The 18,388-nt window shown below is 48.2% G+C and overlaps 1 pseudogene across 1 annotated transcript; it reads left to right on the top strand.

Annotated features, from left to right (window-relative positions):
* The first annotated feature begins 1,753 nt into the window (after positions 1 to 1,753).
* LOC100130849 (phosphorylase kinase catalytic subunit gamma 1 pseudogene) lies at positions 1,754 to 8,515 on the top strand (annotated as a pseudogene). The gene is made up of 5 exons (NR_038450.1): positions 1,754 to 1,837; positions 3,669 to 3,778; positions 6,350 to 6,528; positions 8,215 to 8,331; positions 8,442 to 8,515. The product of NR_038450.1 is annotated as a phosphorylase kinase catalytic subunit gamma 1 pseudogene (transcript).
* Positions 8,516 to 18,388: the final 9,873 nt, after the last annotated feature.

Genomic DNA, 18,388 nt, shown 5'->3' with positions numbered 1-18,388 from the left:
CTGTGAAATCCAGGGATTATTAAGCTACCCCAGCGGGATGCTAGAGGCTGAGCTGAAATCATAGCTGACCAGTGCTGCCTACTGAGCCTCAGCACATGGTCAGGCATGCCTGCTATTTTGATTGCTAGCACTGGTCAGTGCAGACAACGTCCCAGGCGAGGTGCCAGTGGGGACACATGGAACCAGATACCACCAGAGCTCTCTGGTTCTGCAGTCATGTGGAAGATGGAGGCCTGCACGCTACATAGTTGGGCAGGACGAGGTGACACCAGTGCTGCGAAAACAGGAAGGAAGGGGGCTGAGGGCTGGGAAGTTTCTTGGAGAGGCAGGCCCCTTAGCCGAGCCTTGGAGGATGAGCAGAATATGATGGAATGAGGAAGCCTTGCTTCCCGTAGGGGGTTTGAGTGTCCTTCCCCCACAGTTTTATTATTATTTTTTCTTTTTTTGAGACAGAATCTCACCCTGTCTCCCAGGCTGGAATGGCGCAATTATAGCTCACTGCAGCCTCAACCTCCAGGACTCAAGCAATCCTCGCCTTTGCCTTCCGAGTAGCTGGGACCACAGGTGCACGCTACCACACTTGGCTAAATTTTATTTTTTACAGAGATGGAATCTCATTATGCTGCCGAGGCTGGCTCGAACTCCTGGCCTCAGGCAATCCTCCTGCCTCCAAGTTGGCGTGCAGTGGTATGATCTTGACTCACTACAGTCTCTGCCTCCTAGGCTCAAGTGATCCTCTCACCTCAGCCTCCCTAGTAGGAGGGACAACAGGTGTGTGCGACCACATCTGGCTAACCATCTCTATCAAAAAAAAAAAAAAATAGCGGCGCAGCACAGTGGTTCACACCTGTAATCTCAGCACTTTGGGAGGCTGAGGCAGGAGGATAACCTGAGGTCAGGAGTTCCAGACTAGCCTAGACAACATGGTGAAACTCCGTCTCCAATAAAAATACAAAAATTAGACGTCTGTGGTGGTAGGCACCGGTAGTCGCAGCTACTCGGGAGGCTGAGGCAGGAGAATCGCTTGAACCCAGGAGGTGGAGGTTGCAGTGATCGGAGATCATGCCACTGCACTGCAGCCTGGGTGACAAGAGTGAGACTTTCTCTCAAAAAAAAAAAAAAAAGCCCTAAACTAGGAGTCATAAGGCCTGAGAGCAGGCCTGTTAGTCATCAGCTCTGGGCAAATCACCTGTCTTTGCCTGTATTGATTCATCCACCATCCCCAAAAGCACAGAGGAAGATGGGGGAAAGTGTAAACCTTGTGGCAGCTCGCCGGCGCATGCGCGCTCCAGGAAGACCCAGCAGCCCCGCCTCGAGTTCCAATTGGCTGCGCGTGGCGGTCGGTCCGATGTGACGCCATAGGGGCGCGCCCTCGGTGACGTGTTAGGGCGCGACTTCGGTGACGCCTTAGGGCGCGACTTCGGTGACGTCTCAGAGGCGCGCCTTCGACAACGTCATACACGCTGGCCTTCCGCGACGCCACAGACGCGCGCTTTCAGCGACGTCACAGGGGCGGTATAGTACCTGGAGCTGGTCAGTCTCCTCAGAGTCGAGCCTGGTAACCGCGACCTCCTCTCCAGGTCCTGTGTATTCCTGGCTGGAGAAGGGTAGTTGACAAACTCCCACCCAGCACAGTGTGTATGTCCGTCAAAAATAGGAAACTGTGTCCGGTGGCGGCGGACGCGAGAGGATCCTTTCGGGCCAAGAGCAGCCTGTTAACCTGGCGCGACCCCATCTCTTTAGTCCCACCTCAGCTTCCCAGCTACTTGAACCCCGCAAGGTTCAAGGCTCCAATGAGCTATGATCCCACCACAACACTCCAGTCTGCGAGACTGAGGTAACCCCTGTCTAAAAAAGTAAAAAAGGAAACTATCCAAGTGTGCAACAGGGAGGGACTGCTTAAAGAAAACATGAGGCTAGTTGGGCCCACTTATCCCAGCACTTTGGGAGGCCGAGGCAGGAGGATGGCTTGGGCTCCGGCGTTCGAGACCAGCCTGGGCAACATGACAAAACCCCGTCTCTACAAAAGGTACAAAAATTAGCTGGGGGCGGTGCACACCTGGCCTGATTTTTGTATTTTTTTGTAGCGATGGGGGTCTCGCTGTGTTGCCCAGGCCAGTCTCAAACTCCGGGTTACTGATATTCTCACCTTGGCCTTTAGACTTGTAGGGATTACAGGCGTGAGCCACTGTGCCCTGCCTGGGTTATGCTATTTAATAGAATAAGAACGTGTTCGGCCTGGCGTGGTGGCTCACGCCTGTAATCCCAGCACTTTGGGAAGCCGAGGTGGGTGGATCAGCTGAGGTCAGGAGCTCGAGACCAGCCTGACCAACATGGAGAAACCCTGACTCTACTAAAAATGCAAAATTAGCCAGGTGTGGTGGTGCATGCCTGTAATCCCAGCTACTTGGGCCTGGTAATTGAACCCCTCAGACCTGAGGATGAGAAAGCTTGCCTCAGTTCTTCCCCAGGTGATCAGCCCAGGGGTAAGGAAGAAGAGGCCGGAAAAGAGAACCCATGAGAAGGGCCCCCTCCTGGAGTTTGAGGCCCACTCCCTCCTGCCCCGGCCTCTCCTCTGTCCCACTCCCTGCTCTGCCCCACTCCTGTAGCCATGGCAATGGGGGGCTGCATTTGAGTACAGGCCCCAGCAGCAGCCCTAAGCCAAAAGTGGGCAGGCTCACCTGCAGGGGATCAGAGTAACATGGCAGGAAGTAAGGGTGAAAGCTGCCCTGGAACCGTGCCTCTCTGCCCCATCACATCACTCGGGTGCACTCCTCCCTCACCTCACTCAGGCAGCAGCATCATGAGTTCAATGGGAGTGATGTCCTGCTCCCACTGCTGCCTCTTTTTAGTCTTGGGCTACCATAACACTTTCCCTTCCCCAGCCCTGCCAACCTGGTGGGCCATTGGGCTTCCCTCTCCCAGGGTCCTGGGGACAGACCTGTCCTGTATCATACTCACAGAGAGACCCTTTTTTTCCCCAGGGCTTGAGGATCAGCCAGGTTTAATGAGTTAAATGGAGATCTGAATCATATCAAGCTGAGATTGGGGTACACACTCTCCTCTACTGAAAAGTAGTGAGGGATTCCAACTTCGTGAGAGGGAGAGTGGGGCAGAACCAGGTGGGGTTTTTGTTGTTGTTGTTGAGATAGAGCCTCACTCTGTCACCTAGGCTGGGGTGCAGTGGCACAATCTTGGCTCACTGCAAACTCCGCCCCACCCTGGGTTCAAACAGTTCCCATGTCTCAGCCTCCTGAGTAGCTGAGATTATAGGCATGTGCCACCACCCCCAGCTAATTTTTGTATTTTTTTTAGAGACGGGGTTTTACCATGTTGGCAAGGCTGGTCTCCAATTCCTGACCTCAAGTGATCCACCCACCTGGGCCTCACAAAGTGCTGGGATTACGGGCATGAGCCACCATGCCCAGCCCCTTCAAGTGGGTGTTGAGGCTTCAGTACAATACTAGTTTCCGTGGCTACTGCAACAAATTACCACACAGTAACTGTCAGTGCTTTTTATAAGGTGAAACAGATTATCTTGTGGGGCTTTTGTTGTGATGGTGATTTGTTAGATTAGTTTAAAGACAGTAATGTGCAGGTGTTGAAAATTATAAAAACAATCTTCACATTTCATATTTTTTTTGAGACAAAGTTTTGCACTTGTTCAGGCTGGAGTTGCAATCTCAGCTCACCACAACGTCCGCCTCCCAGATTCAAGAGATTCTCCTGCCTCAGCCTCCCAAGTTGCTGGGACTACAGGGGTGCGTCCCACGCCCAGGTAATTTTTGTACTTCAGTAGAGATGGGGTTTCACCATGTTGGCCAGGATGGTCTTAATCTCTTGACGTTGTGATCTGCCTGCCTCGGACTCCCAAAGTGCTGGGATTACAGGTGTGAGCCACCCCTCAGCCCACATTTTATAACTTTAAAGCAGTATTAATGGTAATTGCCTTAGGGAAAGATACTTTTGTTGTGATATATAAGTATTATATTCAAGTATATTGTACAGCAAAGGATGTTAAACCTAAGTCAGCCTTAATGTATTATATGGTACACTTAAAACTTTAGTACAAATATTCGTGTTTAGCAAATTGACCTTAACACATAATGATAGCAAAAAAAATGGAGCTATTCTGATGATAGACCATTGGTTATGTCTGAATTTAATACTCTCCATGCTCTTGACTGTTTCATTTTTTTCATTGAAACAGAGTCTTGCTCTGTCACCCAGGCTGGAGTGCAGTGGTGCAATCATAGCTCACTGCAGCCTTCACCACTCAGGTTCAAGTGATCCTCCCATCACAGCCTCCCTAGTAGCTGGGACTACAAGTGATTACCACCATGCGTGGCTAATTTTTGTATTTTTAGTAGAGATGGGGTTTTACCATGTTGGCCAGGCTGGTCTCAAACTCCTGACCTCAGGTGATTCACCTGCCTCGGCCTCCCAAAGTGTTTGGGTTACAGGCATGAGCCACTGCGCCTGGGTGCCTCTTGACTTTTTATAGCTGTTATATTATTTTAATTTTAAGTAAATGTTAGCTGAAATGATACAGTTCAGGAGAATCTTCTTCTGTTACTGAAAAAAATCATATTTATAAGTCTAATAAGGTTATACACTAATGTATATGTTTGGAAAATATTACCTTTTCTGGCCAGGCATGGTGGCTCATGCCTGTAATCCCAGCACTTTGGGAGGCTGAGGTGGACGGAGCTCCTGAGGTCAGGAGTTCAGGACCAGCCTGACCAATACGATGAAACCCCGTCTCTACAAAAATACATAAATTAGGAAGGCATGGTGTCAGGTGCCTATAGTCCCAGCTAGTCGGGAGGCTGAGACAGGAGAATTGCTTGGACCTGGCAGGTCGAGGTTGCAGTGAGCCAAGATCCTGCCACTGCATTCCATCCTGGGTGACAGGGTGAGGCTCCATCTCAAAAAAAAAAAAAAATTAAAAGAAAATATTACCTCTTCCATTTAGTGCTATATGTATTAAATAATATTAGCTGGTATGTTTTTCTGGCTTTATAATGTGGTTCAGATTTCTGTAGAAATTCTGGCTGTATCTACATTGCCTTAAAGTAATGGGATATTTCTTTTGTTTTTTTTCTTCAGCTGGAGTTTTGCTCTTGTTGCCCATGCTGGAGTGCAATGGTGTGATCCTGGCTCACTGCAATCTCTGCCTCCCAGGTTCCAGCGATTCTCCTAGCTCAGCCTCCTGAGTAGCTGGGATGACAGGCACCTGCCACAACACCTGGCTAATTTTTGTATGTTTAGTAGAGACAGGGTTTCACCATATTGGCCAGGCTGGTCTTGAACTCCTGACTTCATGATCTGTCTGCCTCAGCCTTCCAAAGTGTTGGGATTACAGGAGTGAGCCACTGCACCTGGCACCTGTGACCAATATTATTTCTAAGATCTAGAATGCATTTATTACTGAAACAATGCTGACATACACTGCACCTAAAAAGGAAGAACTAGACATTCATTAAAGCTAGGAAAAAGCAGAATTCAGTGTGCTCAAGAACTGCTCCCATGGACAGGTACAATGGCTCATGCCTGTACTCCCAGCACTTTGGGAGGCTGAGGCGGGAGTATTCCTTGAGGCTGAGTTCAAGATCAGCCTGGGCAACACAGCAAGACCCCATATCTTTTTTATTTTTTAGACATGGTCTCACCTTGTCATCCAGGTTGGCGTGCAGTGGTATGATCTTGACTCACTACAGTCTGCAGGCCTCCTAGGCTCAAGTGATCCTCCCACCTCAGCCTCCCTAGTAGGAGGGACAACAGGTATGTGTCACCACATCTTGCTAACCATCTCTATTAAAAAAAAAAGTGGCCCAGCACAGTGGTTCACACCTGTAATCCCAGCACTTTCGGAGGCTGAGGTGGGAGGACCGCCTGAGGTCGAGAGTTTGAGACTAGCCTGGCTAACATGGTAAAACCCCGTCTCCAGTAAAAATACAAAAATTAGATGTGTGTGGTGGCAGGCGCCTGTAGTCCCAGCTACTCGGGAGGCTGAGGCAGGAGAATCACTTGAACACAGGAGGTGGAGGTTGCATGAGCCGAGATCGTGCCACCGCACTGCAGCCTCGGCAACAGAGTAAGACTTTCTCTCCAAAAATGACTAAACTAGGAGTCACACAGCCTGAGAGCAGGCTTCTACTGATCAGCTCTGGGCAAATCACCTATCTGTGCCTGTATTTATTCATCCACAATCCCCAAAAGCTCAGAGGAAGTTGAGGGAAAGTGTAAATCTCTAGATAAGGGCAGGACATGTCTGCTGCAGCCTTGAATCTGGGACTCCCCATGGGGTGAGGGGCCCCCTGAGGCCATCTGTCCTTTTCACTCCCAGGGGCATTAGCAGTATGGTCAGGTGCTGCATCCACAAGCCCACGAGCCAGGAGCCTGCTGTGAAGGTCATCGACGTCACCAGTGGAAGCAGCTTCACCCCCGAGGAGGTGCAGGAGCTGCAAGAAGCCACACTGAAGGAGGTTGACATCCTGCACAAGGTCTAAGGGCACCCCAGCATCAGTGAGTGAGGGCCCCAAGCTCCACGGTGGGGTGACCCCTGTGATTCTGCCCTGACATGACAGCCCAAGCCAGGGAATGTGGCCCCACCACACAGCCAGTTAGAACCACCCAGGCTCAAGGCTCCCAGCTGTAGCCTCACTGCTTTGACAGAAGGGGTCCCAGGCAGGGATGGTTGCAGGTGAGGGGATGGGGGTTTGATGTCCCTGGGCTGAATGAGCCAGGCGTGCTGGTGCATGCCTGTAATCCCAGCCACTCAGAAGGCTGAGGCAGGAGCATCACTGGAGCCCAGTAGTTTGAGGCTGCAGTGAGCTATGATTGCACTATTGCACTCCAGTGTGGGTGAGACCGTGAGACCTTGTCTCTAAAAATAATAACAATAATAATAATAAAGTTGCTTGAGGCTGAGTTCAAGATCAGCCTGGGCAACATAGCGAGACCCCATATCTTTTTTATTTTTTAGACACGGTCTCACCCTGTCATCCATGTCAGCATGCAGTGGTATGATCTTGACTCACTACACTCTCTGCCTCCTAGGCTCAAGTGATCTTCCCACCTCAGCCTCCCTAGTAGGAGGGACAACAGGTGTGTGCCACCACATCTTGCTAACCATCTCTACTAAAAAAAAAAAAAGTGGCCAAGCACAGTGGCTCACACCTGTAATCCTGGGCCTGCCCACACCCCGGGTTGACATCCTTTGAGCACCCTCCTGATTCCCGTGTCAGCTTTTGAAGTTAGCTGACAGCAGCCTCGGTCCCTGACCCCCGTGCCCCAGCTGCCCCTGCCCGGGCTCCCCTGCCACTTGAGATGAGCTAGCCATTTCCATTTCAGTACAGCTGAGGGACACTTATGAGACCAACAGTTTCTTCTTCCTGGGAGACTGAGGTGGGCAGATCACCTGAGGTCAGGAGTTCAACACCAGCCTGGCCAACATGGTGAAACCCTGTCTTTACTAAAAATACAAAAAATTAGCTGGGCATGGTTGCAGGCGCCTATAATTCCAGCTACTTGGGAGACTGAGGCAGGAGAATCGCTTGAACCTGGGAGGTGGAGGTTGCAGAGAGCCGAGATTGCACCACTGCACTCAAGCCTGGGGCATACTTTAGTCCCAGCTACTCGGGAGGGTAGTGTGTGAGGATAGCTTGAGCCCAGGAGGTTGAGGCAGCAGTAGCGGCAGTAAGCTATGATTGTTGCACTGCACTGCAGCCTGGGTAACAGAGCAAGACCCCGATCTCTACAAAGAAGCCTTTTTTTTTTTTTATGAGCTGGAGTCTTGCCATGTCTCCCAGGTTGGAGTGCAGTGACGCGATCTCCGCTCACTGCAACCTCTGCCTTCCAGGTTCAAGCAAATCTGCCTCAGCCTCTGAAGCAGCTGGGACTACAAGCATGTGCCAGCCACCATGTCCAGCTAATTTTTGTATTTTTAGTAGAGATAGGGTTTCACCATGTTGGCCAGGCTGGGCTCAAAATCCTGGCCTCAAGTGATCTGTCTGCCTCAGCCTCCCACAGTGCTGGGATTATAGGTGTGAGGCACCACGCCTGGCCTCAATTCACAAACGTTTATTTGGAACATTCACTGTAGGCCAGTGTGGTGCCAGGAGATGTAAGGGTGAGTGAGAAACAGTTCCAGGCCCCAAGAACAACCCCTGGGTCAGGAGGGCTGACAGCTTCTTTGTGTTCCACTCTCAGAGCCACCCAGAGTTCCCTTGCTGAGGATCTGAGCATGACCCGGGATGAGGCACTGCCGGACTCTCATTCCGCACAGGACTTCCATGACAATTATTAGCCCAACGAGATCCTGGGCAGGTAAGGCCCAAGCTTTCCCCATGAAGTGCTGTCCTAGGCTCTAGCAGGCCCTGTAGGCTATAGCCACCTCTGCAGCACACCAAGTACTGACCCCACTTTCATTCCCAAAGTGCTGTCCACTTGAAGAAACCCTTGGTTTGGGGTCCTGCCCTCCTGAAGCCAGGACAGATAAGAGAAACCACTCCCAGCAAAAAGTTCCCAGGGGTAGGTGCAACGGCTCATGCCGGTACTCCCAGCACTTTGGGAGGCTGAGGCAGGAGGATTGCTTGAGGCTGAGTTCAAGATCAGCCTAGGCAACATAGCAAGACCCCATATCTTTTCTATTTTTTAAACAGGGTCTCACCCTGTCATCCAGGTTGACATGCATTGGTATGATCTTGACTCACTACAGTCTCTGCCTCCTAGGCTCAAGTGATCCTCCCACCTCAGCCTCCCTAGTAGGAGGGACAACAGGTTTGTGCCACCACATCTGGCTAAACATCTCTATTTTGAAAAAAAAAAAAAAAAAAGCAGCCAAGCACAGTGGCTCACACCTGTAATCCCAGCACTTGGGAGGCTGAGGCAGGAGGACCACCTGAGGTCAAGAGTTTGAGACCAGCCTGGCTAACATAGTGAAACCCCATCTCCAATAAAAATACAAAAATTAGATATCTGTGATGGCAGGCACCTGTAGCCCCAGCTATTTGGGAGGCTGAGGCAGTAGAATCACTTGAACCCAGGAGGTGGAGGTTGCAGTGAGCCGAGATTGTGAGACTTTCTCTCCAAAAAAAAAAAAAAGAGTACTAATCTAGGAGTCACACGGCCTGAGAGCAGGCTTGTTACTCATCAGCTCTGGGTAGATCACCTGTCTGTGCCTCTATTTATTCATCCATCATCCCCAAAGCTCAGAGGACGATGGGGTAAATCGTAATTCTTGTGGCCGCTGGCCCATGTATGCGCACTCCAGGAAGACCCAGAAGCCCCGCCTTCACTTCCGATTGGCTGCGTATGAGAGTCGGTCCTCTGTGACGCCATAGGGGCGCGCCTTCATTGACGTCTCAGAGGCGCCCATTCGAAAAGTCCTATGAGCTGGTCTTTCGCGACGTCACAGGGGCGGTATAGTGCCTGGAGATGGTCAGTCTTCTGACAGTGGAGCCTGGTAACCGCCACCTCCTCTCCAGGTCCTCTGTATTGCTGGCTGCAGAAAGGTAGTTGATAAACTCCCACCCAGCACAGTGTGTATGTCCATCAAAAATAGGAAACTGTGTCCGGTGGCGGCCGAGGCCGGAGGATCCTTTCAGGCCAAGAGCAGCCTGTTAACCTGGCGCGACCCCATCTCTTTAGTCTCACCTCAGCTTCCCAGCTACTTGAACTCCCAAGGTTCAAGGCTCCAATGAGCTGTGATCCCACCACAGCACTCCAGCCTTCGAGACTGAGGTAACCCCTGTCTAAAAAAGTAAAAAAGGAAACTACCCAAGTGTGCAACAGGGAGGGACTGCTTAAGGAAAACATGAGGCTGGTTGGGCCCAGTTATCCCAGCACTTTGGGAGGCCGAGGCGGGAGGATGGCTTGGGCTCGGGAGTTCGAGACCCGCCTGGGCAGCAGGATGAAACCCCGTCCCTACAAAAGGTACAAAAATTAGCTGGGCGTGGTGCATGCCTAGCCTAATTTTTGTATTTTTTGTAGAGATGGGGGTCTTGCTATGTTGCCCAGGCCGGTTTCAAACTCCTGGGTTCACTGATATTCTCACTTTGGCCTTCAGACTTGTAGGGATTACAGGCATGAGCCACCGTGCCCTACCTGGGTTATGCTATTTAATAAAGTAAGAAAGTGTTTGGCCCTGCATGGTGGCTCACGCCTGTAATCTCAGCACTGTGGGAGGCCGAGGTGGGTGGATCACCTGAGGTCAGGAGTTCGAGACTAGCCTGGCCAACATGGAGAAACTCAGTCTCTACAAAAAATAACAAAAATTAGCCGGGTGTGGTGGCACATGCCTGTAGTCCCAGGTGCTCGGGAGGCTGATACTGGAGAATCACTTGAACTGGGAAGTGGAGGTTGCCGTGAGCCGAGATCACACCAAGCACCCCAGCCTGGGTGACACATCGAGACTCTAAAGTTTGAGACCAGCCCAGGCAATGTAGTGAAACCCTTTCTGTACAAAAAACAAAACAAAACAAAACAAAAAGCCGTGTGTAACTGTTCACCTGTGGCCGCAGCTACTTAGGAGGCTAAGGCAGGAGGATCACTTGCGGCCAGGAGCTCAAGGCTGCAGTGAGCTATAATCATCCTGCTGCTCTCCATCCTGAGCAATAGAATGAAACCATTTCTCTAGATAGATAGCTAGCTAGATAATTGATACGTAGTTTTCTTTTCTTTTCTTTTTTTTTTTTTTTTTGAGACAGAGTCTTGTCCTGTCACATAGGATGGGATGCAGTCGTGCGATCTTGGCTCACCTGCTCACTGCAACCTCTGCCTTCTGGGTTCAAGCAATTCTCCTGCCTGTCTGAGTAGCCGGGAATTACAGGCACACGCCACCATGCCTGGCTAATTTTTTATATTTTTAGTAGAGATGGGGTTTCACTGTGTTGGTCAGGCTGGTCTTGAACTCCTGACCTCATCATCCACCCGCCTCAGCCTCCCAAAGTGCTGGGATTACAGGCGTGAGCCACGGCGCCCAGCTGATTATGTAGTTTTCTATCAAATTTTTTTTCCTAGATTTGAACATGTTTTTCTAAAGTAGCATTCAACACATCAGCATTTTACAGTGTTATTAGTTGTTAATATGATTTTGTTTTTCTGAAATACAGTATCCTTTACAAAAAGTTTTGTCTTTCAAAGCACATAGATAGGTCCTCAAATGAATTTGTCTGATGTTGATTACCTTGGTACCATTTTGTCCACTTGATTGAAACAGTTAGTTGGTAATTTCAGGTCACTATTGGCCTTAGAGGAAGAGCCCAAAGGCAACAAGCAAGGGCACTGGTGTCCAGTTGCCTTCTAGAAGCATTTTCACCTTCCCTTAAGGTTTCCCTTGATGAATATAGAAGTACTGTATGTAGAATTGACCCAGTGCTGCCCTGGTAACTTTGTAGATTAGGCCAAATTTACATTTCTTACCTTTATGAGAGGCACCCTGGTAGACTAGTGGAGTTACACACAAAGTCTGATCTCAGCTGCACCGTCCAGAAATGCAACATGGTCGAATTGAATAACATTCTCTGAGCCAGTTTCTTTAGCTGTAAAATAAGAATAACAAGTATACTCATCTAAAAAGACAGCTTATTGTATCTGAGTGGTCTTCTATTTTCTACGAAACTGTCTTTAACACAGTAATTATTTTCATTGCCATACCACATTTTTTGTTTTATTTATTTATTTTGAGATGGAATCTGGTTTTGTTTTTGTTTTTGTTTGTGACGGAGTCTCACTGTTGTCACTTAGGCTGGAGTGCAGTGGCATGATCTCGGCTCATTGCAACCACTGCCTCCCAGGTTCAGGTGATTCTCCTGTCTCAGCCTCCTGAGATGCTGGGATTACAGGTGGCCACCATCACACCTGGCTAATTTATTTATTTATTTATTTATTTTAGTAGAGATGGGATTACATCATGTTGCCCAGGCTGGTCTCAAACTCCTGACCTCAAGTGATCCACCCACCTCGGCCTCCCAAAGTGCTGGGATTATAGGCATGAGCCACCGAGCCCAGCTCATTTTTAGAAAAGGATTGCTTGGCCAGTCTCAGTGGCTCGCACCTGTAATCCCAGCACTTTGGAAGGCAGAGGTGGGTGGATCAGCTGAGGTCAGGAGCTCGAGACCAGCCTGACCAACATGGAGAAACCCTGACTCTACTAAAAATGCAAAATTAGCCAGGTGTGGTGGTGCATGCCTGTAATCCCAGCTAGTTGGGCCCAGTAATTGAACCCCTCAGACCTGAGGATGAGAAAGCTTGCCTCAGTTCTTCCCCAGGTGATCAGCCCAGGGGTAAGGAAGAAGAGGCCGGAAAAGAGGACCTATGAGAAGGGCCCCCTCCTGGAGTTTGAGGCCCACTCCCTCCTGCCCCAGCCTCTCCTCTGTCTAGGACTCCTCCCTGCTCTGCCCCACTCATGGAGCCATGGCCATGGGGGGGCTGCGTTTGAGTACAGGCCCCAGCAGCAGCCCTAAGCCAAAAGTGGGCAGGCTCACCTGCAGGGGATCAGAGTAACATGGCAGGAAGTAAGGGTGAAAGCCGCCCTGGAACCGTGCCTCTCTGCCCCCTCATGTCACTCGGGTGCACTCCTCCCTCACCTCACTTAGGCAGCGGCATGAGTTCAATGGGAGTGATGTCCTGCTCCCTCTGCTGCCTCTTTTTCGTCTTGGGGCTACCATAACACTTTCCCTTCCCCAGCCCTGCCAACCTGGTGGGCCATTGGGCTTCCCTCTCCCAGGGTCCTGGGGACAGACCTGTCCTGTATCATACTCACAGAGAGACCCTTTTTTTTCTCCAGGGCTTGAGGATCAGCCAGATTTCATGAGTTAAATGCAGATCTGAATCATACCAAGCTGAGATTGGGGTACACACTCTCCTCTACTGAAAAGTAGTGACGGATTCCAACTTGGTGAGAGGGAGGGTGGGGCAGAACCAGACCAGACAAGGAGTGGTCACCTGGAAAAAGCCTGCCATCAAAGGCCTTGGTGAGTGCTGGGTGCGGTGGCTCACTCCTCAGCAGTTTTGGAGGCTGAGATAGGTGGATCACTTGAGGTGAGGAGGTTGAGTCCAGCCTGGGCAACATGGCAAAACCCCATCTCTGCTACAAATACAAAAACCTGCTGGACATGCTGTGCTCCTGTAATCCCAGCTACTCGGGAGGCTGAGGCAGGAGAATTGCTTGAATTGGGGAGGCAGAGGTCGAAGTGAGCTGAGATTGTGCCACTGCATTGCAGTCTGGGAGACGGAGTGAAACTGTGTCCCTCCATCAGAAAAAAAAAAAAAAAAAGAAAATGGCCTTGGCAGAAGGACCGGCCTGGCAGTGCCTTCCCTTGAGTTTCTCCTGGGTAGGCCTCTGCCATGAGGAGGTGCTTCCTTCTTCCTCTCCATGGCCCACAGCAAAAGACTGTGTGCTTCTAAGGGGTTGGGTGGGGGACTATTGAAAGAACTGGAAACCTTCAGGTGGGGTTTTGTGTTGTTTTGTTTTGTTTTGTTTTCTTATTGTCGACATGGAGCCCCACTCTATCACCCAGGCTGGGGTGCAGTGGCACAATCTTGGCTCACTGCAACCTCCGCCCCACCCTGGGTTCAAACAGTTCCCATGTCTCAGCCTCCTATGTAGCTGAGATTATAGGCATGTGTTACCACCCCCAGCTAATTTTTGTAATTTTTAGAGACAAGGTTTCACCATGTTGGAAGGCTGGTCTTGAATTTCTGACCTCAAGTGATCCACCCACCTGAGCCTCACAAAGTGCTGGGATTACAGGCATGAGCCACCATGCCCAGCCCCTTCAGGTGGGTGTTGAGGCTTCAGTACAATACTAGTTTCCCGTGGCTACTGCAACAAATTACCACACACTAAATGTCAGTGCTTTTTATAAGGTGAAACAAATTATCTTGTGGGGCTTTTGTTGTGATGGTGATTTATTAGATTTTTTAGTTTAAAGACAGTAATGCTCAGGTGTTGTAAAATTATAAAAGCAATTCTCACATTTTATAAATTTTTTTTGAGACAAAGTTTCACACTTGTTGTTCAGGCTGGAGTTGCAATCTCAGCTCACCACAACCTCTGCCTCCTGGATTCAAGAAATTCTCCTGCCTCAGCCTCCCAAGTAGCTGGGACTACAGGGGTGCGTCACCACACCCAGGTAATTTTTGTACTTTAGTAGAGATGGGGTTTCACCATGTTGGCCAGGATGGTCTTAATCTCTTGACGTTGTGATCTGCCTGCCTTGGACTCCCAAAGTGCTGGGATTACAGGTGTGAGCCACCCCTCAGCCCACATTTTATAACTTTAAAGCAGTATTAATGGTAATTGCCTTAGGGAAAGATGCTTTTGTTGTGATATATTAGTAAGATATTCAGGTATATTGTACGGCAAAGGACATTAAACCTAAGTCAGCAATAATGTGTTATATGGTATACTTAAAACTTTAGTACAAATATTCGTGTTTAGCAAATTGACCTTAACACATAATGATAGCAAAAAAATGGAGCTGTTCTGATGATAGACCATTGGTTTTGTCTGAATTTAATACTCTCCATGCTCTTGACTTTTTCTTTTTTTTTCTTTGAAACAGAGTGTTGCTCTGTCACCCAGGCTGGAGTGCAGTGGTGTGATCATAGCTCACTGCAGCCTCCACCACTCAGGTTCAAGTGATCCTCCCGTCACAGCCTCCCTAGTAGCTGGGACTACAGATGATTACCACCATGCCTGGCTAATTTTTGTATTTTTAGTAGAGATGGGGTTTCAACATTTTGGCCAGGCTGGTCTCAAACTCCTGACCTAAGGTGATTCACCTGCCTTGGTCTCTCAAAGTATTTGGGTTACAGGCATGAGCCACTGTGCCTGGCTACCTCTTGACTTTCTATAGCTGTTCTGTTATTTTAATCTTAAGTAAATAAATGTTAGCTGAAATGATACAGTTCAGGAGAATCTTCTGCTTCTGTTACTAAAAAAAATCATATTTATAAGTCTAACAAGGTTACACTAATGTATATGTTTGGAAAATATTACCTTTTCCGCAAGGCATGGTGGCTCATGCCTGTAATCCCAGCACTTTGGGAGGCTGAGGTGGACGGAGCTCCTGAGGTCAGGAGTTCAGGACCAGCCTGACCAATACGATGAAACCCCGTCTCTACAAAAATACATAAATTAGGAAGGCATGGTGTCAGGTGCCTATAGTCCCAGCTAGTCGGGAGGCTGAGACAGGAGAATTGCTTGGACCCGAGAGGCGGAGGTTGCAGTGAGCCGAGATCCTGCCACTGCACTCCATCCTGGGTGATAGAGCGAGACTCCGTCTCAAAAAAAAAAAAAAAAAAAGTAAAAGAAAATATTACCTCTTCCATTTAGTGCTATATGTATTAAATAATATTAGCTGTATGTTTTTCTGGCTTTATAATGTGGTTCAGACTTCTGTTGAAATTCTGGCTGTATCTACATTGCCTTAGAGTAATGGGATATTTCTTTCTTTTTTTTTTTTTCTCAGCTGGAGTTTCACTGTTGTCGCCCATGCTGGAGTGCAATGGTGTGTCCTGGCTCACTGCAATCTCTGCCTCTCAGGTTCAAGTGATTCTCCTAGGTCAGCCTCCTGAGTAGCTGGGATGACAGGCACCTGCCACAATGCCTGGATAATTTTTGTATGCTTAGTAGAGACGGGGTTTCACCTTGTTGGCCAGGCTGGTCTTGAATTCCTGACTTCCTGATCTGTCTGCCTCAGCCTTCCAAAGTGTTGGATTACAGGCATGAGCCACCGTGACCAGCCTGTCTTTTTTTTTTTTCAAAGCCACCCTTGGTTATGAAATGTAAAATATGCACCAGTGAATATTACTTTGCTGAATATTGCCTAGTGAATATTAAGTATTTATTCTCACCTTTCAGACATGAACTTGCGAATTCAACATGTGAAGACTTACAACTTGATAAACCAGCTTCAGGTGGTAGGTCTTCAGTCTTAAGTCAGATTAGAAGATTATGTGAAATAATTATTTAATGCTTAACAATGATTTTTTTAATGGTCCTTTCACATGAAATAATATTCCTCTTACTTTTAATTATGTTCCAGGACAGGAGAATTCATGTTGTCAAAATTCTAATACTCTCTAGAAAAATAAACTCATTTTCTTTTTATTAACCCATTATAAATACATGTAAGTATTGCGTTTATGGGTAGACAGAACTAAAAGAACAATATTTGTCCTACTTTTCAGATACAACATTTGTCTGACATTATGCACTGAACAGTTTATTATTGAAGTCTACACTAGCCAACTGAACAAGCATTCATCAAATGTCCACGATACCCAGGACATAAGAAAGTTCCTTTTAGAGCATGGAGCCATGCATATCATCTCTTAATTGTTAGATGTGTTTTGAAAGAAGTAGAAATATAATTGATTTTCTGGTTTTGGCTCTAGAGTGGAGTGCAGACAAAAAAGAATGGAATCACACTGTTTAGATTTACTAAAATGGAAGGATTGCCAGCAAGATCATATCCCTAGTCTCCCCATAGCAAATGGCACCTGCTAGCTGTTTGCTGTTCTCTTTTTTTTTTTTTTTTTTTTTTTTGAGGTGGAGTTTTCCTCTGTTGCCCATACTGGAGTGCAGTGGTGTGATCTCAGCTCATGCAAGCTCTACCTCCTGGGTTCCAGCAATTCTGTCTGCCTCAGCCTCCCAAGTAGCTGGGATTACAGGCACCTGCCACCACGCCAGCCTAATTTTTTATTTGCAGTAGAGTTTGGGTTTCACCATGTTGGCCAGGCTGGTCTGGAACTCCTGACCTCAGGTGATCTGCCCACCTCAGCCTCCCAAAGTACTGGCATTACAGGCATGAGACAACCTGTCCTGCCTGCTAGTGGTTCTTGAGCACACTGAGTTCTGCTTTTTCCTAGCTTTAATGAATGTCTGGTTCTTCCTTTTTTTTGTGCAGTGTATGTCAGCATTGTTTCAGTAATAAATACATTCTGGATCTTAGAAATAATATTAGTTACAGGTGCCAGGTGCGGTGGCTCATGCTTGTAATCCCAGCACTTTGGGACGATGAGGCGGGTGGAGCACGAGGTCAGGAGATCAAGACCATCCTGGCTAACACGGTGAAACACTGTCTCTACTAAAAATACAAAAAATTAGCCGGGCGTGGTAGCGGGTGCCTGTAGTCCCAGCTACTCAGGAGGCTGAGGCTGGAGAATGGCATGAACCTGGGAGGCGGAGCTTGCAGTGAGCCGAGATCATGCCACTGCACTCCAGTGTGTGCTACAGAGCGAGACTCCATCTCAAAAAAAAAAAAATAGTCACAGGAAAGAAAAATACTGCCTATTTTATAATAATATTTAATAACCCAAGTTATTAAATTCATTAGATTGAGAAAACTTGTATTCCTGTGATTTTGATGGGGAAGGAAGTATGGTATGCCAGAATCACTGAATTGTGGAAAATGATGGATCAGCTTTTTTGCAAAAAAATTTGATAAGTCTGTTTTTTCCCCTTCAACTAAATTATATTACTGAGTAGTGTTTTTTATAATGTTGTTTTATTTAGGAAAGTAAATACAATGAGTGGGACTCAGCTTCAGTTTTCTCTTACTGTTCTGTTTTTGAGACAGAGTTTCGCTCATGTTATGCAGGCTGGAGTGCAGTGGTGCGGTCTCAGATCACTGAAACCTCCACCTCCCAGGTTCAAGCGATTGTCCTGCTTCAGCCTCCCAAGTCGGTGGGATTACTGGCACCTGCCACTATGTCCAGCTAATTTTTGTATTTTTAGTAGAGATGGGGTTTCACCATGTTGGTCAGGCTGGTCTCGAACTCCTGACCTCAGGTGATCCACCCACCTCAGCCTCCCAACATGCTTGGATTGTAGGCATGAACCACAATACCCAACCTCTCATACTGTGTTGCTGTTTTTTTTTTTTTTTTTGAGATGGAGTCCAGGCTGGAGTGCAGTGGTGTGATCTTGGCTCACTGCAACCTCTGCCTCCTGGGTTCAAGCGATTCTCCTTCCTCAGCCTCCTGAATAGCTGGGATCACAGGCATGTACCACCACACCCAACTAATTTTTTTTGTATTTCTTGTAGAGATGGGGTTTCACCTTGTTGGCCGGGCTAGTCTTAAACTCCTGACCTCAGGTGATCCACCCACCTTGGCCTCCCAGAGTGCTGAGATTATAGGTGAGAGCCACTGCACATGGCCAGGAGTGGATTAATTTTATGGTTCACCTTTTAGACCATACAGAACAACTTTCTGACATTGCCATGGCATTTGTAAACTGCCATGGAGTTGATGGGTGTATTGCAGTGAGGATGAGCAGAGGTCACTCTCGTCATTATCTTGGTTTTGGCTGGCTTTTTTACTGCAGCCCATTTTATCAGCAAGGTCCTTATGACCTGTATATTGTGCTGAC

The sequence above is a fragment of the Homo sapiens genome, chromosome 7, assembly GCF_000001405.40.
Source record: "Homo sapiens chromosome 7, GRCh38.p14 Primary Assembly".
In the NCBI taxonomy this organism is placed as follows: domain Eukaryota; kingdom Metazoa; phylum Chordata; class Mammalia; order Primates; family Hominidae; genus Homo; species Homo sapiens.
This window is presented reverse-complemented; position numbering and strand designations above follow the sequence as displayed.